Source organism: Homo sapiens, chromosome 6 (genome assembly GCF_000001405.40).
Source record: "Homo sapiens chromosome 6, GRCh38.p14 Primary Assembly".
Classification (NCBI taxonomy): Eukaryota; Metazoa; Chordata; class Mammalia; order Primates; family Hominidae; genus Homo; species Homo sapiens.
The window spans coordinates 31,885,648-31,908,039 of NC_000006.12; the positions used below are offsets into that span (position 1 = coordinate 31,885,648).

General features: G+C 52.3%; 3 protein-coding genes across 16 annotated transcripts in view, besides 2 other annotated features; 1 reads left to right on the forward strand and 2 right to left on the reverse strand.

The window, feature by feature from the left end:
- The window catches only part of EHMT2 (euchromatic histone lysine methyltransferase 2), a 17,940-nt gene extending 5,889 nt beyond the window's left edge, over positions 1 to 12,051 (reverse strand). For 4 of the 13 annotated variants that reach the window (NM_001395164.1, NM_001395162.1, NM_006709.5 and 1 more), the window contains exons 1-18: positions 11,989 to 12,051; positions 11,276 to 11,342; positions 10,959 to 11,177; positions 10,616 to 10,869; positions 7,179 to 7,263; positions 7,047 to 7,087; positions 6,760 to 6,915; positions 3,821 to 3,955; positions 3,581 to 3,695; positions 3,322 to 3,423; positions 2,952 to 3,100; positions 2,716 to 2,859; positions 2,394 to 2,629; positions 2,132 to 2,314; positions 1,930 to 2,012; positions 1,348 to 1,454; positions 1,128 to 1,250; positions 934 to 1,035 (exon numbers count right to left, since the gene is read on the reverse strand). In NM_001395164.1, coding sequence (NP_001382093.1) covers positions 934 to 1,035; positions 1,128 to 1,250; positions 1,348 to 1,454; positions 1,930 to 2,012; positions 2,132 to 2,314; positions 2,394 to 2,629; positions 2,716 to 2,859; positions 2,952 to 3,100; positions 3,322 to 3,423; positions 3,581 to 3,695; positions 3,821 to 3,955; positions 6,760 to 6,915; positions 7,047 to 7,087; positions 7,179 to 7,263; positions 10,616 to 10,869; positions 10,959 to 11,177; positions 11,276 to 11,342; positions 11,989 to 12,030 — 2,343 coding nt within the window. In that variant the 5' untranslated portion in view covers positions 12,031 to 12,051. Of the gene's footprint in view, positions 1 to 933; positions 1,036 to 1,127; positions 1,251 to 1,347; positions 1,455 to 1,929; positions 2,013 to 2,131; positions 2,315 to 2,393; positions 2,630 to 2,715; positions 2,860 to 2,951; positions 3,101 to 3,321; positions 3,424 to 3,580; positions 3,696 to 3,820; positions 3,956 to 6,759; positions 6,916 to 7,046; positions 7,088 to 7,178; positions 7,264 to 7,714; positions 8,016 to 10,615; positions 10,870 to 10,958; positions 11,178 to 11,275 lie in introns of all 13 variants that reach the window. The other 9 variants (NM_025256.7, NM_001395163.1, NM_001395161.1 and 6 more) reach the window with 5 other exon arrangements.
- Positions 11,194 to 11,890: an enhancer, noted in NCBI's record as "H3K4me1 hESC enhancer chr6:31864618-31865314 (GRCh37/hg19 assembly coordinates)". NCBI's record gives its function as "activates a minimal SCP1, AML or CMV promoter by ChIP-STARR-seq in naive H9 embryonic stem cells {active_cell/tissue: H9 hESC(naive)}" and the evidence as "EXISTENCE:reporter gene assay evidence [ECO:0000049][PMID:30033119]".
- Positions 11,974 to 12,568: an enhancer, noted in NCBI's record as "H3K27ac hESC enhancer chr6:31865398-31865992 (GRCh37/hg19 assembly coordinates)". NCBI's record gives its function as "activates a minimal SCP1, AML or CMV promoter by ChIP-STARR-seq in naive H9 embryonic stem cells {active_cell/tissue: H9 hESC(naive)}" and the evidence as "EXISTENCE:reporter gene assay evidence [ECO:0000049][PMID:30033119]".
- C2 (complement C2) overlaps positions 12,136 to 22,392 on the forward strand; it is a 47,890-nt gene continuing 37,633 nt past the window's right edge. Inside the window, exon 1 of one of the 2 annotated variants that reach the window (NM_001282457.2) lies at positions 12,136 to 12,295. Coding sequence is in view for 1 of the 2 variants with exons in the window: in NM_001178063.3 (NP_001171534.1) it covers positions 15,420 to 15,492 (73 nt within the window). In the remaining variant the exon portion in view is untranslated. Of the gene's footprint in view, positions 12,296 to 15,351; positions 15,493 to 22,392 lie in introns of those variants that run through there. The other variant, NM_001178063.3, reaches the window with a different exon arrangement.
- Positions 13,966 to 16,439, reverse strand: ZBTB12 (zinc finger and BTB domain containing 12). Its single transcript, NM_181842.3, has 2 exons — positions 16,190 to 16,439; positions 13,966 to 15,678 (listed from the first exon to the last, which is right to left on the reverse strand). Exon 2 carries the CDS (start codon positions 15,656 to 15,658, stop codon positions 14,279 to 14,281), a length of 1,380 nt encoding a protein of 459 aa, NP_862825.1. The 5' UTR covers positions 15,659 to 15,678; positions 16,190 to 16,439; the 3' UTR covers positions 13,966 to 14,278.

Below are 22,392 nucleotides of genomic sequence, written 5' to 3' on the forward strand. Positions count from 1 at the left end.
TTTCGAGGCTGCAGAGAGCTATGACTGTCTGTGAACTGCTACTGTACTTCAGCCTGGGTGACATAGCAAGACCCTGTCTCTTAAAAGAAAAAACGAACAAAAATTTCCTAAGTCTGCCCACTCAAAAGTCCTAGAAGCAGCGACAACCCAATAACAATAAACACTCCTAGGAACATAGATTGTATTCTCTAAAAAATGCTTCTGGCCGGGCGCTGTGGCTCACGAGGTCAGGAGTTCAAGATCAGCCTGGCCAATATGGTGAAACCCCGTCTCTACTAAAAATACAAAAATTAGCCGGGCATGGTGGTGGGCGCCTGTAATCCCAGCTACTCGGGAGGCTGAGGCAGGAGAATGGCGTGAACCTGGGAGGCGGAGCTTGCAGTAAGCTGTGATCACGCCATTGCACTCCAGCCTGGGCAACAGAGTGAGACTCCGTCTCAAAAAAAAAAAAAAAAGTTTCCCATAAAGGAAGCAGAGTTTCTTAGAGAAATGGTGGATTCTGAGTTGGGGGCAGGAAATGTGCTGAAAGGTCAGGAGGCTCTCAAAGGCCACTGGGCCACTGGGTCATGTCACAGCCACAGAGGCCTCTTAAAGGGGCTTCTTCTGGACAATGATGGAATAATTCAAAGACTGAGAAGAATGCCAATAAATGACTAAAACACATCCAATGTATGACAACCCAAGAGTTAATAAAAAGCCTCACTGGACACTTTCAGAGATTAAGACAGGAACTGATTATTCTGAAACTTGATAAAGAGAAAGAAACGAGAAAGAAAAGAATGAAGAGAAATACAAATGAGGAAGAAGAAAGCAATGAGGACAGACACGAGCAGTGTGAGGTCAGATGTAGGAAAGGCGGCCCAAAGCCTGAGGCCAAGCCAAGGAACCCAGGCACCAGGGACCCAGAGGGGCTGGGCTGGGTGGGCCGCTGACCTGGGCGTTGACGTCCACCTGTCCTGTGCTCAGCAGCAGGCTGACCATCTCCAAGTTCCCGATTTTGGCTGCGTGGTGGAGGCAGGTGGAACCGTCCTCCTCCTGAGGGAGACACGGGCAAATGAGCCTTTGGGCTGGCACCCCAAACCTGGTCCCTGACTCCGGGGGCCACGCCCTGCTGCCTGCGCGCACACCTTGCTATAGACACAGCCACCACGCTGCACCATGTAACGGGCTACCTCCAGGTGGTTGTTCACCACGGCCTCCATCAGTGGCGTCCGCTGCTGTTTGTCCACTGCATTTATGTTGGCTCCAGCCTGTGAGGGGGCAGGAGGGCTGGCACCAGGGAGGCATGGGGCAGGGGAGGGGCCTAAGGGCCTGGTGAATGAGGCATGGGGCCGGGCCCGTGCTGACCTGCAGCAGCACATGGCAGATCTCCACGGAGCCCTTCTGGGCGGCTGCATGCAGGGGCGTGCGCTTGCTCTGCTGGTCGCTCTGGAAGTTGGGGTCCAGGTTGTCCACTGCGGGGAGAGCCCGCCACACCGGGAGAGGGAGGGACAAGTGGTAAGCAAGCTAGGGGGCAGGTGGCACTTCTTTCAGGAAGGCTTCTCAGGGCCCCAAGCTGGATCAGGGCCCCTCCTGGCATTCTCCGAGCTTGCCTCCACCACAGCATTTATCAGAATAAGGAGTCAAAGGCATCAGCTCTGCCTGAATTCAAACCCTGCCTTGCTTCTCAGTACCACTGTGCACTGTGCAAGGTCCCTAACCTCTCTGTGCAAGCCAAGGCTAACAGGTATAAGCACTCAGAACAGGACCCAGCACCTATGAGTCACCACATCCCCATCGTTATGGGTTACATGTGTCTTTTCCCCACCACACTAAGTCCTTCAGGGCAAGGACTGTGTCCTTCACGACTGTACTCCTGGCCCTGTACCCAGTGCCTGGTATATACATGAAGCTTGGTCAAGGTCTGCTGAAGGAATGGGTGGCACTCACACAGCATCAGGATCACCTTCTGCAGCTCGCCCTGCTTCACGGACAGGTACAACTGCCGAGGGTGGAAACGGAGCTTCTTCCGCCTGCCAAGGGAGCACGGGAGCGGGGAGAGAAGGGGAGCTCCTCAGATTCCAGCATCAGCCTCGACACCACTCCTCTGGCCTCAGCCCCAGTTGCTGTGCCTGAGCAACTCCCCACTCACCTCTCTGACTCCTGGATGACCAGGGCCTTTTCCAGGGCCTCCCGGCCTGGCCCCAGTGGCAGCCCCACGGCTGAAAGGCAGCCCCCATTGGGCAGGGTCAGGGAGGGCCCTGAGCTGTCAATGGTGTCAGCCAGGGGATCGCAGGGCGGGCGCCGGGGTTCCCCATGCCCTCGCATCCGGGCACTGTGGAAGAAGGAGCTCATGTCCAGGAGCAATAGGGGTGGGGGAGGGAACAGACAGTACAGAAGGGGGAGGCCAGTACCTGGGCTGAGAAGTGTCTGCTCTCCCGGGGACATCCTGGGACAGGGGTGGGGGTGCAGGAGCTGCAGTGCCGGCCGGTGGGGTCACCCCGTCACCCCGGGGGATGGTCACCTCTTGAGCTTCAGAAGCATCCTCCCCACAGTGGGGACAGAAGACCATCCCATTCAGCTGAGACACACAGGCCTTGTGGAAGCGGTGGGCCACACGGAAGTCAGGGTGGCACTCCAGGAAGGTGCCCTGGGAGCAGGGAAACGACATGGTCAGGTTACTGGGGCCCCCTCTGCCACAGGGCATGCTACCTGTCTGCCCCACTGGTCACTCACCGCCGTGCAGAAGTAGCCGCAGCCCGGGCAGCAGTGGTGTTTGACCATGCGGGCGCGGTGGGTCTCACAGAGCACCATCAGGGCCACACGGCTGGATGGCCTCATGGTCTCCCGCTTGAGGATGGCGGCATTGCAGCCTGACAGCTGTGCGCAGTGAGGATGGGTGAGAAGAGAGCGTGAGGCTGGGGCCGGGGACTGGACGCCCTGGCACCTCTCCCACCAGCCCACGGCCCCACCTCTCCGTCCACACTCTCAGTGGCCATGCACTTGTGCCCCGCCCTCTCGCTGATGCGGTCAATCTTGGGTGCCTCCATGCGGCAGCTGCACAGGGGCAACTCCTCAAACCCTCGCTCTGTCTCCAGCGAAGATGTGTCATTGGACACCCCTTGGATGGAGGAAAAGAGGAGCTGAGGGAGGCTCTGCACCTCACCTACTGGGACCCCTGGCGGGTCCTCTCACTCCCTCCCTACCCCACCCCGCCATGCCCCAGAACCCCTAAAGCCTGGCCATGGACACCCCGGCTCTGGCGTGGTTCCCCTCCTTCCCTTTCCCTCCTGCCCTGAGGTCGCCCCCTAGTGGCTCCCTGTCCCGGCAATTGGCAATTACCAGCGTGGTTGGGGGAGAGGGTCCCCTCGCTGGGCAGCTCCAGGGACCCCAGAGGGACCTCCATGTACTCACTGGGGCCTGAGGAGCCCACACCATTCACTCCTGACACAGAGACAGAGAGAGTGAGAGTGCGAGCTCACAGGTGCCTGGACGCGTGGGTACATGCAGGTGGACATGCGAGAGCGTGTGTGTGCGTGCACACACTCTGGGGGGCCGGGCGGGGGCTGGAGGGCACCCAAAAGCAGCAGAGCCTCCTCACCTCGTGGCTCCTTGGCCCGCGGAGGCTCCCGCTTGCGCCGTTTCCGAGACGGCTTCACCCATGGGCTGTCTTTTCGCCATTTCTTCTTGGCCTTGCGCCGGCCACTGGAACCACTCTGGGAAGGGGGAGGAGGAGGAGTTAGGAACCCTCACCCCCAGGGGCCCCCCCAACACCTTCAGGACCAGACCTCCAGCCCCATAGTCTCCCACTCCTCTGGAGATATCAGCCTCCGTCTCTTACCCTATCTGACTGATTCCCTGACTCCTCATCTTCCTCTTCTTCTTCCTCTTCCTCCTCCTCTTCCTCTTCTTCTTCTTCCTCCTCTTCCTCCTCCTCCTCTTCACTTAGTTGTTCAGTTAGAGCTTCAACTTCAGACTGGGAGAGAGGCAGAACAGACATATCCAACCCCCAGGACTCAGACAATGAGGTGAGTAAAGAAAACCACCACCACCATTGCCCCCCGCCACTACCCACGGATGGCTGCTGGGGATAAGTGTGGGTAGCAGAGGAGACAAAGGGCCACATAAAGAGAGGGTGCATGGAATATTACACAGCAGTGAAAAAGTTACAGACAGCAATGTGCACAGATCTTGGTAATGTGATATTAAGTTAAAAAACAAAAAGCAAGTACCAGAAGATAAACATACTTTGATACCCCTTTTATGATGTTCATAAACAGGCAAGACCACCAATGGTTGCTAAAAACACTAGACACAAAGCTCATGAGAAACTTTATATGAAAGGTTCAGGCTGACATCACCTGAACCCACTGGTCAATCTTATCACTAACAAGAAAAATGACCAGATTAGATGTTCCATGCATCCTGATGTGATGTGGCCAGAAGCACTTGCACCCACTGTCAAGTCTTCTTGGCACCTGAAGCTGATTCCGCCTCTAGATCTATCAGTTTACAAGAAATATGGGCAGAGAGGATGTGTCAATCTCCACCCAATCAGCCAACTCCTAAATGTGAAAAATTCTGTAGGACAACTGAGCTGGTTTCTTTGACAAATAAATGGCAAAAAAAAAAAATCTTTCTTATTTATTTATTGAGTTTTGCTCTTGTTGCCCAGGCTGCATTGCAATGGTGTGATCTCAGCTCACTGCAACCTCCACCTCCTGGATTCAAGCAATTCTCTTGCCTCAGCCTCCTGAGTAGCTGGGATTATAGGCACCCGCCACCACACCCAGCTAATTTTCGTATTTTTATTAGAGATGTGTTTTCACCATGTTGGCTAGGCTGGTCTCAAACTCCTGACCTCAGGTGATCCACCTGCCTCCCAAAGTGCTGGGATTACAGGCGTGAGCCACCACGCCTGGGCCAAAAAATTTTTTTTTAGAAGATGAGGAAATCAGGCCAGGTGTGGTGGCTCACGCCTGTAATCCCAGCGCTTTGGGAGGCCGAGGTGGGCAGATCACGAGATCAGGAGTTTGAGACCAGCCTGGCCAACATAGTGAAACCCTGCCTCTACTAAAAATACAAAAAATTAGCTGGGCATGGTGGTGGGTGCCTGTAATCCCAGCTACTTGGGAGACTGAGGCAGGAGAATTGCTTGAACTCAGGAGGTGGAGCTTGCAGTGAGCCAAGATCACGCCACTGCACTCCAGCCTGGGTGACAGTGTGAGACTCCATCTCAAAAAACAAAAACAAACAAACAAACAAACACAAAGAAGATGGGGAAACCTAAATACTGAGAGAGACCTAAGACAAAAAAAAATTTTTTTTTTTTTGAGACGGAGTTTCGCTCTTGTTGCCGAGGCTGGAGTGCAATGGTACGATCTTGGCTCACTGCAACCTCCACCTCCCAGGTTCAAGCGATTCTCCTGCCTCAGCCTCCCGAGTAGCTGGAATTACAGGCACGTACCACTACGTCCAGCTAATTTTGTATTTTTTTCAGTAGAGACGGGGTTTCTCCATGTTGATCAGGCTGGTCTCGAACTCCCAACCTCACGTGATCTGCCCGCCTTGGCCTCCCAAAGTATTGGGATTACAGGCGTGAGCCACTGTGCCTGGCTGACCTAAGACAAATGTTAATCAAATCAAGGTGTGGGCCTCATTTGGATCTTGACAAAAACCATTTGTGAGAGCTGAGGAAATGTGAAGACTGACAGGATATTTGATGGTATTAAGAAATCGGTAAGTTTTTTTAGGTGTGAAAACAGTAGTGTAATGATGTTGAACGACAAAAAGAGGCCTTATATTTACAAATCTATATGGATATATGTTTAGGTAAAATGATATGAGGTCTGGGATTTGCTTTAAAATAACCTAGTAGGTGTGTGTGCTGGGAGATGTACAGATGGGTCAAGATGGACTGTGTACTGATAATGGCTGGAGCTGTGTATTGGGTACATGGGGGCTCCCTATTCTACTCTTTTGATTATGCTTGCAAGTTTTCATGATAAAATGTTAAATAAAAGGCAAAATCAGAGAGACTAAACATTCTACTGTGTAGGCAAACATATAAGATAAAACCAGACAAAGAGCAACGAAATAAGCAAATAAATGACAATGCAATGCTTTTGAATTTTATATAAACAGCATAACGTATGTTTTAAAAAAGTGCTTTCTGGTCATTTCTTTTTTTGTTTTCTTTTTTTAAACAGTACATGTCTGTTAAATGGTCATTTCATTAGCTGATTAAAAAAAAAAGAATACTAAATCCCATGTGCAGGGTGGTGGCCACCTTTGTGGATGAAACGGGCAGAATACACATTGAAAATGAGTTACAGCTGGGCGCGGTGGCTCACAGCTGTAATCCCAGCACTTTGGGAGGCCAAGGTGGGTGGATCAACTAAGGTCAGGAGTTAGAGACCAGCCTGGCCAACACAGGGAAACCCCGTCTCTACTAAAAATACAAAAATTAGCCGGGCGTGGTGGCAGGTGCCTGTAATCCCAGCTACTCGGGAGGCTGAGGCAGGAGAATTGCTTTAACCCTGGAGACAGAGGTTGCAGTGAGCCCAGATCGTGATATTGCGCTCCAGCCTGGGCGACAGAATGAGATTCCGTCTCCCCCCACAAAAAAAAGGAGTTATAGACAGCATGGGGCAATGACTTAGTGGATATTCAGAAGATAAAAAGGACAGAAAGCAGAAAAACAGGGAACAAGGAGGACTGGACAGTGAGCCCCAGCCCTGGGGGAGCACCGGCGGGGAGGGCAGACCAGCTCTGTCTCACCTTGCTGTCGGAGTCCACGCGCTCATCCACAGAGTAGGAATCATAGTAGAGACTGAAGTCATCACCCACCACCGTCTCCCACTCCTCCAGGGACCCGGGGTCCCCTTTCGTCAGGGTCACTTCTCCTGAACGCCGGGCAGAACCTAACTCCTCTGACTAGAAAAAGATCAGAAAAATTGAGGCCACTGACACCCTGCGCATTTCTACTGAGGATGGGATGCAGCCCCACCTCTGACCCTCCCTCAGAGCAGCCCCCGAGGGGTAGAGGCTCTGCCTCTGCTGCTTACCAGGCCACCTCCTGAGTTCAGCTTCCTCCTTTTGGCCAGATCTGGAAGAAGAGAGAGAATGGTGTGGGGCCTATCACCGAAACCTTCAGAACAGACCACATCAAGCCACCGGGGGTGGGGGATGGGACTGACCTGAGGTCACCTTTCCCAGTGAGTGGACATCATCACTCATGCGGAAATGCTGTATTTCAGGGGGCCGCTTCTCAGGGACCGGGGGCTGTGGGCCGAGAGGGAGCACACTGAGGGTCAGAGAGCACCTACAGTTTTGCCTGGGTTAGCCTGGAGCCCCAGGCGGGGGTGGGGTAGTGAGCCACACCTCCAAATGCCATGTGAGGCTCCAGTAGCCACAAACTGGCAACCACGGGTGCTATTTCCTCAGAGGAAGAGTGTCAAGCACACTAACACTCACTCATCTCTGCAACCATGCAGAGCAGGCCCTTTTCCATTTTACAGATGAGAAAACAAAGCTTAATAAAGTTAAAAGACCTTTTATATGTGGCCATATACACAGCAGGACTGTTTACAACAGCTGAGGTGCGGAAGCAACTCAAGTGCCACTGACAGATGAATGGATAAGCAAAATGTGGCATTTATACACAATGGAATAACATTCAGCCATAAAAAGGAAAGATATACTTTTTTTAAGAGATAAGGTCTCATTCTGTTACCCAGGATGGAGTGCAGTGGCATGACTATGGCTCACTTCAGCCTCGAACTGGACTCAAGCCATTCTCCTGCCTCAGCTTCCTGGGAAGCTGGGATTACAGGCACATGTCACAATGCCTAACTAATGTCTTCTTAATTTTTTTTTTTGGTAGAGAAGAGGTCTTGCCATGTTGCCCAGGCTGGTCTTGAACTCCTGGTGTCAAGTGATCCTCCCCAGAAAGTACGGGATTACAGGCGTGAGTCACTGGGCCTGGCCTTTGAAACATTCTTTTAAACTTCTTTTAGAGATGGGGTCTTGGTATGCTGCCCAGGTGAAAGGAAAGAAATTCTGACATGGTACAACATAGATGAACCTTGAGGACATTATGCTAAGTGAAATAAGCCAGTCACAAAAGGATAAATACTGTATGATTACACTTAGATAAAGTACTTACTCAAATTTATAGAGAAAGAAAGGACAGTGGTCCTTGCCAGGGGCTAGGGGGTGGAGGGAATGGAGAGTTATGTTTTAATGGGTACAGAGTTTCAGTTTTACAAGATGAGTTATGGTGACTGATGATTGCACATGATGAAAGTATTTAATACCATTAAATTATATACTTAAAAATGTTTTTTATTTTATTTTTAAATTTTTAGATGGAGTCTCACTCTGTTGCCCAAGCTGGAGTGCAGTGGCGCGATCTCAGTTCACTGCAGCCTCTACCTCCCAGGTTCAAGCGTTTCTCTCACCTCTGCCTCCTGAGTAGCTGGAACTACAGGCACATGCCACCACGCCCGGCTAATTTTTGTTTTGTTTTTTTTTTTGAGACAGAGTTTTGCTCTTGTTGTCCAGGCTGGAGTGCAATGGCAGGATCTCGGCTAACTACAACCTCTGCCTCCTGGATTCAAGCGATTCTCCTGCCTCAGCCTCCCAAGTAGCGGACTGTTACAGGCATGTACCACCATGCCCGGCTAATTTTGTATTTTTAATAGAGATGGGGTTTCACCATGTTCGTCCGGCTGGTCTCGAACTCCTGACCTCAGGTGATCCACCTGCCTTGGCCTCCCAAAGTGCTGGGATTACATGCGTGAGGCACCCCGCCTGGCCTAATTTTTGTATTTTTAGTAGAGACAGGGTTTCACTATGTTGGCCAGGCTGGTCTCAAACTCCTGACCTCAGGTGATCCTCCCGCCTCGGCCTCCAAAGTGCTGAGATTACAGGCGTGAGCCACTGCGCCTGGCCTAAAATTGTTTTTTAGATGGTAAATTTTACGTGACACTAGTCCCCTCTTATCCAGTTCATCAGCAGTGATGGTGGCATATTGTTAGAATTGTGCTATTTTTTTTGAGTCTCGCTCTGTTGCCCAGGCTGAACCGCAGTGGCGCGATCTTGGCTCACTGCAAGTGATTCTCCTGCCTCAGCCTCTCGACTAGCTGGGATTACAGGCGCACGCCACCACACCTGGCTAATTTATTATTATTATTATTATTTTAGTTAGAGACGGGGTTTGGACATGTTTACCAGGCTGGTCTCGAACTCCTGACCTCAAGTGATTGCCGGCCTTGGCCTCTGAAAGTGTTGAGATTATAGGCAAGCCACGCCTGGCCTACTGTTAGGATTACGCTATTATGTTATTATTGTTGTTAATCTCTCACTGTACCTAATTTATAAATTCAATTTTCCTTTTCTTCCCTATTCTTTACAAAATGAATTGCAACTATAAAAATTAATGTTTATCATAGTGAGAAAGGAAAGGTAGCTCATAGCAACCTGTGCTATGTGAAGCAGGCAAAATTGATCAGGCTCAGCGAGAAGTCAGCATGGAACGGTTAGGGCCCATGCCTGGAGGCAACTGCTTAAAGGCATTTTGTACCTGACTAGGGTGCTGCTTCACCCATTATCTTCATGTGCCTAATATCTGTGAGACAAAGAACAATGTATAGCAGATCAATAGCTTGTTATTCTAATGTAAACTGGTAAACAATTTAGGAACTGCCTCTTCTTTTCCTTTGTTATTTCTTCAATCTTTTAAAAAATTTTTATCTTTTTTTTTTTCTTTTTGCGGCTCCTTCCAGAGCAGGGCTAACTCCTACGCAGTGTGCCCAGAGTCAGCCTGTTTTTTTTCAATATCTTCACGTCATCCAATCTTCTTTTCCTTTAAAAACCTACTTGTGGGCTGGTTGTGGTGGCTTGCACCTGTAATCCCAGCACTTTGCGAGGTCAAGGCAGGAAGATTGCTGAAGCCCAGCAGTTTGAGACCAGCCTGGGCAACATAGTGAAACTGTCTTCAAAAACAAAACAAAACAAACAAAAAAACCCCTACTTATAACTGCTGCTAATCAGAGTGTATTTTCACGGCAACTTGAATCTTTGCTCCTAAAGGCTGTCCTCAAAACCTGACCAAATATACTTTACTTAATGTTAAGTTTGCCTCAGTTTTTTCCTTTAGGTCAACAATAGGTATGACCCAAGAACCCTAGAACTTGGTCATAAAGCTTCTGGTGCCCTTGTCACTTCCCTCCTCTATTATTTCTGTGGCCCTCATCTCCTTTCCCACTGGGATTCCCAGGAAAAACTTTACAAATAGAGCAGTGACAGATGAGTTCCCCAAGGGCTTGCTTTGAGGTAGAAAGGAAGAGTGGTTTGAAATTCCCTTACCTTGTCATTATCATAAGAGTAATTAAGACATTAACTATATAATTGACTCTTTAACATCAAACTTTCACCACCCAAGAATGTAAACTGCAGGAAGAGAGGAACCTGTCTGTTGGTTCACAGATCAAGCACAGCCTAATATTTGACACACAGCAGCCCCTTGCTTAAATATGTGAATGAGTAAATGGAGTAGAAGCCTTAAGTGAAACTGTAAAAGAGCTCACCAAAGGTTTATGGTTGATTATCCCATCTCTCCCATCCCACTCACCTGTCCATTTCCTGGTTTGGACATGGTTTTGCGGGCTCGGTGGACCTTGGGCTGTCCCTCTGGGCTCGTGGTGGCTGGAGGGGGTTCAGACCCTGCTGCTGCAGCTCCCTGGGCTCCTGGCATACTCAGTAGCCTCATAGCCAAACTCTGGACAGATGGAGGTGATTTTCCCGCCCCTGTCATTGACATCTTGGCCCGGCTAGGACAGGAACCCCCCTTGCTGGGGGAAGAGGGGAATGACTTTGTGGCATGGCCTAGAAAACAGGCAAGCAAAAGGCAAGATAAGAAAGAAGGCAAGAGTCAGAAATTTCCCACCAACCCCCCAGGCTACCCAGCCTCTCACCCAGCAGGATCCGGCCCCCACGGAGGTCCCCATCTCCCTCAAGATTCTCAGATTCATCCCCAATGAGTGGTGTAGCCCCTACAGGGGTGTCAGCCCCCTCATCACCAACAGTGACAGTGACAGAGGCTGGAGATGAGGGGCCAGCAGGCTCCAGGGAGTCGGGGGTGGCCTTGGGCAGGGTTTCTTCACTACGAGGGGTGTCCCCCAAAGAGCCATGAACTGTAGAGGAAGAGAAAAAGTTCAGAGCTAAGGGCTCAGGAGATCCTGTGTTTAGGGAAGGTGACGGTCCAATTGGGGCCCGTTTTAGCTGCACTCACCTCTCTCGGTGGCTCCTCTGGTTTCCTTCTCCAGCAGCAGCGCCCCCATCTCAGCGGGGGCCTCCCCCTGGGAGGGGAGACAAGGGACAGGAGGGCTGGTCAGCCCAGTAGAGAGTTGGGGGGTCCAGGATGCCTGGGCCCTGGGAAGAGAGAGTAGGCTCCGGGGCCTACCTCTTCCTCTGTGGGGCCCCCCCCTTCCGCGGCCTCGGCTGCCCGGAGGGGCCGCACGACCCCTCCCCCGGGCCCGCATCAACCCCCTCCCTCTCGGTAGACCCCGCATCTCTGGGGCCGAGAGAAGAGGAGGGGGAGGGGGCGGGGCCTCCGCGCCCCGGCCCCGCCCCCTCCTCCCGGCTGCACGCGCCGCTCCCCCTTTGTCCCCCAGGCCGCGGGGACCCCGGGCACCAACCCCTCCAGCACCCGCTGCCCCCCAGCCCGGTGGACGGCCCCTCGTGCCCCTCACGCGTGCTCCTGGGGCCCCGGCGCCCGTCGCCCACTCAGGGGCAGCCGGCGGCTGCACGCGCGCCTCCGTGCCCACTCCCCCCACCTCCCACACCCTGGTCCCCTCATCCGCCCCCGGTGCTGGCCCCCTGGATTGCTGCAAGTCCCGCCCGGGCCCCCCGGCCCCGTTGCACCCCCGGAGCATTGCACGGGCGCGCGCTTCCCCCGGGCGCGCGCGCGGGCATGCACCCGCCTCTCCCCCTCCCCTTCCGCACCTCGGCGGCCGCCGCCGCTGCAGCTCCCGCCGCCGCCGCCATCGCCGCTTGCGCTGGGGGCCGAGCCGGCGCGCGGCCGCCCCGGGTCACGTGGGCGAGGGAGGGAGGGCGAGGAGGAGCCTTAAAGGAGCCGCTACATGCTTTTTGGCCATTTTCCCCTGAGAGCGGCCTCGGAGATGGCTGTGACTGTCCTAAGCTGGGAGCTGCAAGGGAGAATTCCTGTCATTCCTGGCCTCAGTTCTGCAGGGACCGAGGGCGAGACACGCCTGGGCCCAGGTGTGGCGTCTCTGTCCCCATCTGGTTTTAGGTAACAAGCGGAGCTTCTGAACTTCTCGGCTCTCGGCAGCGGCTGTATTTCCTCTGGCCTGGTTGGGCTTTTCCCGCCTCTGGTTGCTTTTCTGCCTTTCTAGTTTTTGGGTTACCAGATAGAAGGCTTGGCCTCAGTTTTGGCCTCGCCTTTTTGCTCTTTCTAACGAGCACGAAGGGGCGATAGGGACGCGGAGGACACCTTTATTCTTGGCTGGTTCTAGCATGCTGCTTCATGTCCCCTGGAGCAGCGTGCCCTTCTGAAAACCTGTGGCTAAATGTCTCTTCTGTTTATATCAGGCGTGTTACACCTTCACACGCACTAGGGATCCAGGTAAGCCCAGCGGCCCGAACGTCATTACTGACTGGTGACACTGCAGTAAGTAAACCTTTTTTGCCGAACACTTCATAAGCACAGTCAGGTACTCCGTGGGTCATAGCCCAGCGGACAATTTAAGTATAAATGATATACACCAAGATAGACAATCTCGATAGCTGTATTTAGGGTACCATCCCTTTAGGTATTACGTTTTGGTCGAGTTTGGAAAAGATCTGTATGATTTCACACGCAGTATTTGACACAGGCAGGTGGGGCACCTGAGGCCAATTAAAGGCCTTCTGGGAACTGTAGTTCTCTTTGGTTAACTATTCCAGAGCTTTCTGGGAATTGTAGTTTTCCCTGCACCTTAATCCAAACTTAGCTTTTTTTTTTTTTTTTTAGCTTTCCTGAAGACATGACCTATTTACCCCAGACAAAATATGACCAAACAGACTCCTGCTTACAATTTCCGTGGGCAGGTTGGCCACCTGTAGCTCATCCCTAGCACTGATCCTAAGTCCCTCAAATAGAGTTCATGTGCATCCCCACGACTGCCAATCACTTGTACTGTGAGGTACCTGGCTAAGTGTTGAGATTGCAGAACTGGTGGAGGGCTGGGGGTGGGGACTTGGGGGAGTCCCTGACCAGAGGAGCTCACTTGTCACACTCCTCTCCCATGTTTAGGGCTGGGCTCCTTCAGGCAAGGGATATGCAGAGTTGTGACCTCTAGGTATTAAGAACGCAGCATCACAGGGAGAGGCTGTCTAGGGCAGGATAGTCATGTACACGCAGTTGCCAGAGTGTAAAGGAAAAAAAAAAGTTTTTTTTTGTTTTTTATTTTGTGGAAAACAAAAGCAGAAAAACTAAAACCCCAAACTCCAGAAAAAATCCTAAAAAATATGTTTTTTCTTAAAAAATACTGTATGTCTCTACTCCTCTCCCTCCCTCCCAACAGCCCTTCTTGTGTTCTTTCTTTTCTAAGTGCCCTATCCCCCCCACCCCCATGACTATCCATTGTTTCTTGCTATTGTACCCCCACTTCCCAATATCTACCCAGGATGCGCACCCCACGTTCTCTTACCTGGCGTCTTACTTTGTTCTCCCTCAAATTTCAGCAAGCCTCATACTCGCAGTCTCATTTCCCCAGCATGCAAGAACTGTCTCCCACTTCCTTTTCTGGGACTCAGTAATCTTTTCCCCTTACCACTCCCTCACCCCAGGTCTATTCTAAGCAGGAGCATGTCCTCCTGCCAAATTCCCTCCCTGTTCCCACCCACCCCCCAACCCTTCTTATCTCGAGAAATGTCAGAACCTTCCCCTGGGCAGCCTTAGCCAGGAATAAAACATTTTTGTCTTCCCTCATTCTATAGGACCCTTTTCCCTCCCTCCACATATACATGCACTTCTAAGAGAAGGAAATCTTTCTCTGGGACCCCGTATTCCCCTGGCCTCCAAGAACCCTTTTCCCAGCTCCAGATTCTTGCACTCTCAAGAGCAAGTCTCTCCAAGGAATCATCTTCCCTCTCTCAGGATGTGTGCATCTGCTCAGCCTCCCACTCTTACCTTTCTGCCCCAGACCCCCCACCCCCCAATTCTCCTGGGCCAAAGAGCCCTTTTTCCACGCAGCCCAGGGGCCCCAGCCTCCTGGCCTCCACGCCTGCGCGGCTAGCGGATGAGGACGTTAATCTCGGCCACACTGGCCTCCAGCACGTTCTCGGCCGTGGTCTTGCCGTGTTGCTCCTTGAGGTGCCGCCTAATGGCAGGCTTGTGGGCGAAGCGCACGTCGCAGTAGGAGCAGCGGTAGGGCCGCGCTCCCGAGTGCAGGTTGAGGTGGTCGTGAAGGGTGGACTTCTGTGTGAAGCACTTGCCGCAGATGCCGCACGAGTGTGACTTGACACCACGATGCACGTTCATGTGGCGGTTGAGGTTGCTGCTGTGGTTGAACTGCTTGCCACAGCGAGGGCACATGAAGATGAAGTGCTGCGCCCGCATGTGGAAGACCAGCTTCTCCACGCCCTGGAACACTTCCGGGCACTTGGTGCACTTGATGTTCTTTAAGGGGTTTCCACCTGAGAAGCCCCCAGGCAGGGGTCCCCGGCTGCCCCCCGCCCCCAGGCTGCCCCCCGCCCCCCGGGCAGCCATGGCCACCGCTGCTGCTTCCACCAGGCCCGAGGTGGCCCCCACGCTGGCCCGGCCTCCGGGAATCAACAGCAGGCCCTCCCCTTCTGCATCTTCCGACAGGCTATAGCAGGCCTTCACCACACCCTGCGGTGGGGCTACAGTGCTGGGGGGAACGCTGCTCTGGGCCAGCTCCCCAAGGTGGCCACCCACGGAGCCTCCAATGCCCAGACCCCCTCCCAGGCCTCCAGGGGGTTTGAGCCGGTGTGCCACCTCCAGGGCCGACTCCACCTTGACGATGCAGATGTCAGACACGTCCTCATCCTCATCCTCATCCTCTTCCTCGGCTTTCAGCTCCAAGTCTTCATCCAGTGGGAACTCCAGCTTCACTGGCCGCAGGAGTGGAGGGGGTAGAGGAGGTGGGGGTGGGGGCTTCGGGGCTGGCTTTGGGGTCCTGGCTGGAGGGAGGAGGGACTTGGTGGCGCTGATGCTGCTCACAAGGCTAGCCTCACTGACCCCATCCTCTTTGAGGCCTATTTTGGGCTCAATGAACTGGCTGAGGGCATTCCGGCATTTCTCCACCACGTGCTCCATCTGCAGGTAGGAGGCGGCTGTAAGGTAGTTGACGATGTCCCTAACAGCGAATTCCAAGGCGCCCGTGTAGCAGGAGAGGAGCAAGTCGGCCACGATGCGTGCACTGTGCATCAGGGAGACCTGCAGCTCCGAGCTGGGGTTCAGCAGGAACTGGTCCCGCAGGAAGGGTGAGCAGGCGGCCAAGATGACCTTGTGGCCTCGAAACTTGAGGCTGTCGGCCACAATGGTCACGTCGCAGAACCGCTCCTCTGCCCGGAGCTGGTTCATGTTCCGTAGCGTTGCGGCCTCGTGGCCGGGCAGCTGGAAGCGCAGGACTTCCACCCCAGAGGCCATTGTGGCGGGGGTGGGCAACCCTGGTTGGGAAGGAAACCGGTCAGAGACAAAGGTCTCTGGCTCTCCGAAGCCAAGGCTCCAGGACCCTCGCCCCCATTCTTGCCCAGCCCCCCGGCATCCGATCTCCCGGTCTTCAGATTTCTTCCTCAGTTTCCCCAACCCTGGGGAGGTGCTGTCCCTCTGAGAGGAGGGAGGCGTGGTTCTCGGGGGCGGGGCAGCGGCGTCCACACCCCCCAGCCCAGCAGCCCGCTAGGATGGGGCGAGCCCGCGCGCCCACGGTGGAAGGACGGAGAAAAAGGGGGGCCAGAGGCCTGGGGCTCTGGACTCCAAGGTGGCCCCGGTTGCAGGCTCTTCTCACCCCGCCCCCTTTACCGGCTGCCTCATTCCTCCGCCCCCCCCTTACACGTTTGCACGCGCTTTTCACGTCCTCCCCCCCGCCGCCAGCACGCACCGTGCACGCCCTGCCCCCACGCTCAGAGCTCCGTGGCACGCCCCCCCAGCCCCACGACCCTGAGTGCACGCTCCTCTCACCTGGCCCGGTTCCGCGCGCTGTTTTTTTAATCCCTTATTTTCCCCACCCCCCCCCGGGGCCGGCAGCGACCCCCACACACGGGCAGGGCCTGGGCAGCGCGCAGGCGCGGGGATGCACGGGACGCGCGCGCGCGCGGGGCCGGCTCCGCGTGGGCGTAAGGGGGGAGGGGCGGGGGCGGCTCGTGCCGTGTGTTCCAGGCCCCGCGCGCGCGGCGGCGGCGGCGTCGGCTAGGACTCGGGGAGGAGGAAGAGGGGAGGGAATTAAAGGAGCAGGATCCCCCCTTCCCGACCCCCCTTTCTTCACCAGCACCCCCACGCGGTTAAAGGGCCGGACGGCCTTGCCTCCTCTTTGGCCGGGATTATTTGTCCGCCAGAGCGGAAATACGTTCCACACCCCCCTCTTTCTCGCTCCCCCTCCTCTGTACCTCCAAGCCCCGCGGCCAGTTTGCGCGTGCGTGCCAAGTGCCGCGCGGAGGCCCGCTCACTCGGGCCCGCCCCCCAATCCCGGCTGCCCATGGCGCTACTCGCTCCGCGTCCCCGCGCCCCGCCCGCGCCGCATCCCGCAGCGCGCGCGCGCACCCGTTCTCTCGGCTGCGGGCGCTGCCACCTGCTCCCAGGGGTGGTGCGTCTCCGGTCCAGCTGTGCCGAGCGCTGCCCTGGGTGCATCCGTGGCACCTCTCAGGGCCCCATCCGCCCCGTGGCTAACAGAGCTGTTGGTAGCTATTACCCACGCCTGCCTCCTCTGCTGAGTGTGCTCACAGTTGCTCCAGACACATTCCCAGGCTTTTCCAACTCTTGTAAAGCTAGTAACCGCCTCAGCCCTTCAGGCCTGAAATATGATTTCACTTTCCACAAAGCCAGACGATCCAGTGCCCTCAACTTTCCTCCACTCCATGTCAGTCCTTTAAAATCACACCCGCCCTCCCCTCCATTCTCAGGATTGATCCCAACTTCTTGCCAAGGCAGTCGCCCTCCGCTTGTGCTATCGATGACCTTGCCCATTTCACCTTTAGTATATAATTAACCCTAGGACTAATTTTAATGATGTGATTTATTATGTTAGTATGATTCTACTCTAATCTTCCACCGCTCCGTCCCCCTTATTCCTCACCTCTCCTCCAGACTGACAAGGTCCAGCTCTAAACAAAACTTCCCTTCAACACTGCGCCCGGGCCTTCTCTTTCTCTTGTCTCTCTCAGACTAAGTTATAGTCTCCACAGCTTCAGCGACAGCACTTAGGAGCGTCTTGAAGGCTGGTGCCTTCCCTTCCACTTCCTCGTACCTACACCCACTTCCCCACCTATCCAAGTCCGCGTGAAGATGCCACTGTTTCCTGCCAATTGGATTTCTTTTTTACGTCCTTCAGGAGACTAGTGCGTTTTCCATACATTTCAATTCTGATGAAGTTTCTTATTATGTGTTCAATATCTGGTTTCCCCATTAGACTATAAACTTCTTGGTTGCAGGAATTATGTTGTGGGTTTTGTTTTGCAAATAAAAATCATGCAATAGGGAGGGTGTGGTGGCTCACGCCTGTAATCCCAGCACTGTGGGAGGCCGAGGCAGGTGGATCACCTGAGGTCAGGAGTTCGAGACCAGCCTGGCCAACATGGTGAAACCCTGACTCTACTAAATATACAAAAATTAGCTGGACGTGGTGGCAGGTGCCTGTAATCCCAGCTACTGGGGAGGCTGAGGCAGGAGAATCGCTTGAACCTGGGAGGTGAAGGTTGCAGTGAGCCTAGATTGCGCCATTGCACTCCAGCCTGGGCGACAGAGCAAGACTCCTTCTCAAAACAAAACACCAAAAAAGGTCATGCAACAAATGATTGTTGAAGTAATTCCTCTTTGGCTCAGCCAGCATCCACCCATAAAAAGTTTGTTCTTGAGCTGAAACTGAATTCTTGAACTCAAGGGATGCTGTTTGGCAGGAGGGTGGAGGCAGCGTAGACAGTGTTTAGGTGGTACCTTGACTTTTTGCCTTTTTCTTTTAAATTCTCTGATTTGTATGCCCGCACCCAGTTCCCTCTGTTGAATCTAAGAGTCTGTTCTAAACTGCTCTCTTTGTATTTAGGCCTTGTAGATTTGAGGAAGAACACCTGATTTTGTGTCAGACGCACCTAGGCTTAAAGCCACATTCCTAGGAGTTTCTGAGCCTACTCTGGCTCAGAAGGCTGCCAGATTCGCAAATCATTAAAAAAATAAAATAAAAGCCCTATTCCTGTACCAAATGAGGCCCACTGGGCAAGTTACTTAATTCTCTGAATCACAGTGTCCTTATCTTTGTCTCCCCCGCCCATCCTTAGCTCATCTGAAAGCATTTTTATCTTGAAGGCCCTGATCTCTCACAGGGCTAATGTGAGGTTTAAATGAGCCTGGCATGCAGTAGTTGCTGAGTAAACAATAGCTCTGTTCTCCTTTTCCTAATCTGGGAAACGGACTATGAAATTTTCAAAAGAATTTTATTTTATTTTAATTAATTAATTAATTTATTTAGCTGGAGTTTTGCTCTTGTCACCCAGGCTGGAGTGCAATAGCACGATCTTGGCTCACTGCAACCTCCGCTTCCCAGGTTCAAGTGATTCTCCTGCCTCAACCTCCCAAGTAGCTGGGATTACAGGTGCCCGCCACCATGCCTAGCTAATTTTCGCATTTTTAGTAGAGACGGGGTTTCACCATGTTGGCCAGGCTGGTCTCGAACTCCTGACCTCGGGTGATCCACCTTGCTCAGCCTCCCAAAGTGTTGGGATTACAGGCGTGAGCCACTGCGCCTGACCCAAAAGAACTTTAAAAATTCTGTTTTTCTATCTCATCTCTTCTTTTCCGCATTGCCAAACTTCTCAGAAGAATAGTTCACATTCCAGTGAGAGCAGAAATACAAAAAGCTGTCAAGTTAAGAATTAGAGTTTGTAAAATTTTGTTTCTTGTCCCTTTCTTGCTACTTTTCCTTTCTAGGAATGTAGATGGGACAGGGGGCCTAACTCAGCCCATGGCTCAAGACAGGTAGTCCTTGGTGGCAGGTGGAGTTGACAGCCAATGAATCCTTCAAGTGTCCAGCCCACCCAGTTACAACTCTGCGTAAAAACAAGCAGAGGTGCACAAACTCTTTTCCATGTAGTCTGGTGGAGAGATGATGTGGAGCCATTTCCCATGCATCCCATCCAGGGGGTTTACAATCATCTAGATCCTTGTCCCTTCTTCCCCAACTTCTGCCAGTATAAAACCAGGGGCTTTCCTGTCCTTAGCTTGCAGTACCAAATGCCTTGGTGTGGTGTCAAGAACAGATAAATTTAGGAGATACTTTTAGGATTTTTGGGTCAGGCTCAATGGTTCATTCCTGTAATCCCAGCACTTTGGGAGGCCGAGGCAGGAGGATCCCTTGAGCCCAGCAGTTTGAGACCAGTCTGGGCAACATAGCAAGACCCCATCTCTACAAATAATAAGAAAATTAGCAGGGCATGATGGTGTGTATGTGCTTGGGATCCCAGTTACATGAGAGGCTGAGGTGGGAGGACTGCTTAAGCCCAGGCAGTTGAGGCTGCAGTGAACCATGATAGTGCCACTGTACTCCAGCCTGGGCAACAGAATGAGACCCTGTCTTTTAAAAAAAAAATTAGGATTCTTAGTGAGCTTTAGAAATAAAATCTGGGCTGGGCACTGTGGCTTATGCCTGTAATCCCAGCACTTTGGGAAGCTGAGGTGGGAGGATCACTTAAGGCCGGGAGTTTGAGACCAGCCTGGGCAACAAAGCGAGACACCTGTCTCAAAAATAATAAAATAATAAATAAAAGTAAATACATTTTTTAAAGGAAATAAAATTTGACTAGGGATGCAAGGAATAACTAGGAGACAAAAGGTCCAGGTTCCAGTCCATCTTGAAGTCATCAAGGCTCCCCAGGTTTCAGTATTCTCTTTAATAAAATGGAGGGATTACTCTCTGAAGTATTTTCCAGTCCTATGAGTCCATAGCAGCTTACTTTGAAAAGGGGTGTTTATGTTTGTGGGCATCTCTGAGAGAAGCTAGCTCACAGCTTAGAGCACTACCCTTGGCTACTCATAGAGGTAAGGAGTGGCCTTGATAATCCAAAACCGTAGCAAACATTGGACATTTGTCTAAGACATTCAAAGTATTTTAGGCTGTGGGCTTACTTTTTACAACGATGCTTAGCACGTACTAGAATAACCATATTTCCTGAGCAATCTATAGGAAAGGAAGAGGTAAGTCAGCCTGGACTTTTAAATCCATAGGCTGATGAAACTGTCTTACATTACAACAAAACCTCCAACTTCTTTCTCTTTCTCCTTTGATCTGCACTCAGCTCTGCCCTCAGCGCAGGAACCCTGGTAAAAACTGCAGGATGTTTTGGCAATGTTGGAAGGGGCTTACTGCTTGGGGAAAGAAGCCATGTGAAAACAAAGTGCCTGCACCACTCCCATCCATCTGCAAAACCACCTTTTCTGAACTCCCATCCATCCCCCTTGACTGCTCCTCAATGCTGGCTCCTCCTCCTTCTTCAGAGCTCCTTATCCCTAGCTCTTCGGAGCCCTCTCCCAGCCTCAACCTGCCTCCAGACAAACTCTTCCCTCCCCCTCCTACCTCGGAGGGAATTTACTCCCTGCAGCCCACCACCTTTGCCATCGTCCAAGTCCTCCACACACCCTTGCTGACTCTGCCCAGATCCAGGTCTATCTGGGGAAATGGAGGCAGATTCTCCCAGCACCTTGTGAATTCCAGACAGAAAAAGACTCTTCCACTTCTCGACAAATATTCTATCCTCTGAGCCTCACCAAGTCTGCTCTGCTACCCTATGTCATCCTTGCTGCTTGAGCAACTGACTTTCGGGCCTGTGATACCTGCCTGGATCAGGTTGTCCTCCCCAGGCCTGCCTGTGTCCCTGCAAATGACCTAATCCATATCCCAAGTTTAAAAAAAAAATTGTTCATTTTATTTTTTTCATGGAGTCATTCGTGAGAGCAGAAATACAAAAAGCTGTCAAGTTAAGAATTAGAGTTTGTAGGGCCGGGTGCAGTGGCTCACACCTGTAATCGCAGCACTTTGGGAGGCTGAGGTGGCCGGATCATTTGAGGTCAGAAGTTTGAGAACAGCCTGGCCAACATGGTGAAACCTCGTTTCTACTGAAAATGCAAAAAAAATTAGCTGGGCGTGGTGGTGCATGCCTGTAATCCCAGCTACTCAGGAGGCTGACGCAGGAGAATTGCTTGAACCTGGGAGGCAGAGGTTGCAGTGAGTTGAGATCACGCCACTGCACTCCAGCCTGGGTGACAAGAGTGAAACTCTGTCTTAAAAAAAAAAAAAGCAAAATAAAAGCATTAGAGTTTGTAAAATTTTGTTTACAAACTCAAAATTCAAAGTTCAAAATTCAAAATGTAGTTTTGTTCAAAATTCAAAATGTGTAAGTACAATTCCAAATTCAAATTGTAAAGTTTTGTTCAAAATTTAAAAAATATAAGAGGGTACAAGGCTGGGTGTGGTGGCTTACGCCTGTAAACTCAGCACTTTTGGGAAGCCAAGGGAAGAGGATCACTTGAAACCAGCCTGGGCAACAAGGCAAAACCCAGTCTCAGAAAAAAAAAAAATAGCTGTGGGAGGTGGTGTTGCCTGTGGTCGCAGCTATTCAACAGGCTGAAGTGGGAGGATTGATTCAGCCCAGGGAGGAGAAGGCTGCAGTGAGCCTTGTTCGCACTGCTGCACTCCAGCTTGGGTGATGGCGCAAGACCCTGTCAAAAAAAAAAAAAAAAAAAAAAAAAGTGGTTTCTTTTGCTCAGGCTGGAGTACAGTGGTGCAAAGAAGGCTCACTGCAGCCTCGACCTTCCTGGACTAATTTATTTATTTATTTTTTAGACAGAGTCTTGCTCTGTCGCCAGGCTGGGGTGCAGTGGCACAATCTCGGCTTACTGCAACCTCCACCTACCAGGTTCAAGTGATTCTCCTGCCTCAGCCTCTGGAGTAGCTGGGACTACAGGCGTGCGCTACCACTTCTGGCTTTTTTTTTTTTTTTTTTTTTTGAGATGGAGTTTCGCCCTTGTTGCCCAGGCTGGAGTGCAATGGTACAATCTCAGCTCACTGCAACCTCTGCTTCCCAGGTTCAAGCAATTCTCCTGCCTCAGCCTCCTGAGTAGCTAGGATTACGGACGTCTGCCACCACGCCCAGCTAATGTTTTGTATTTTTAGTAGAGATGGG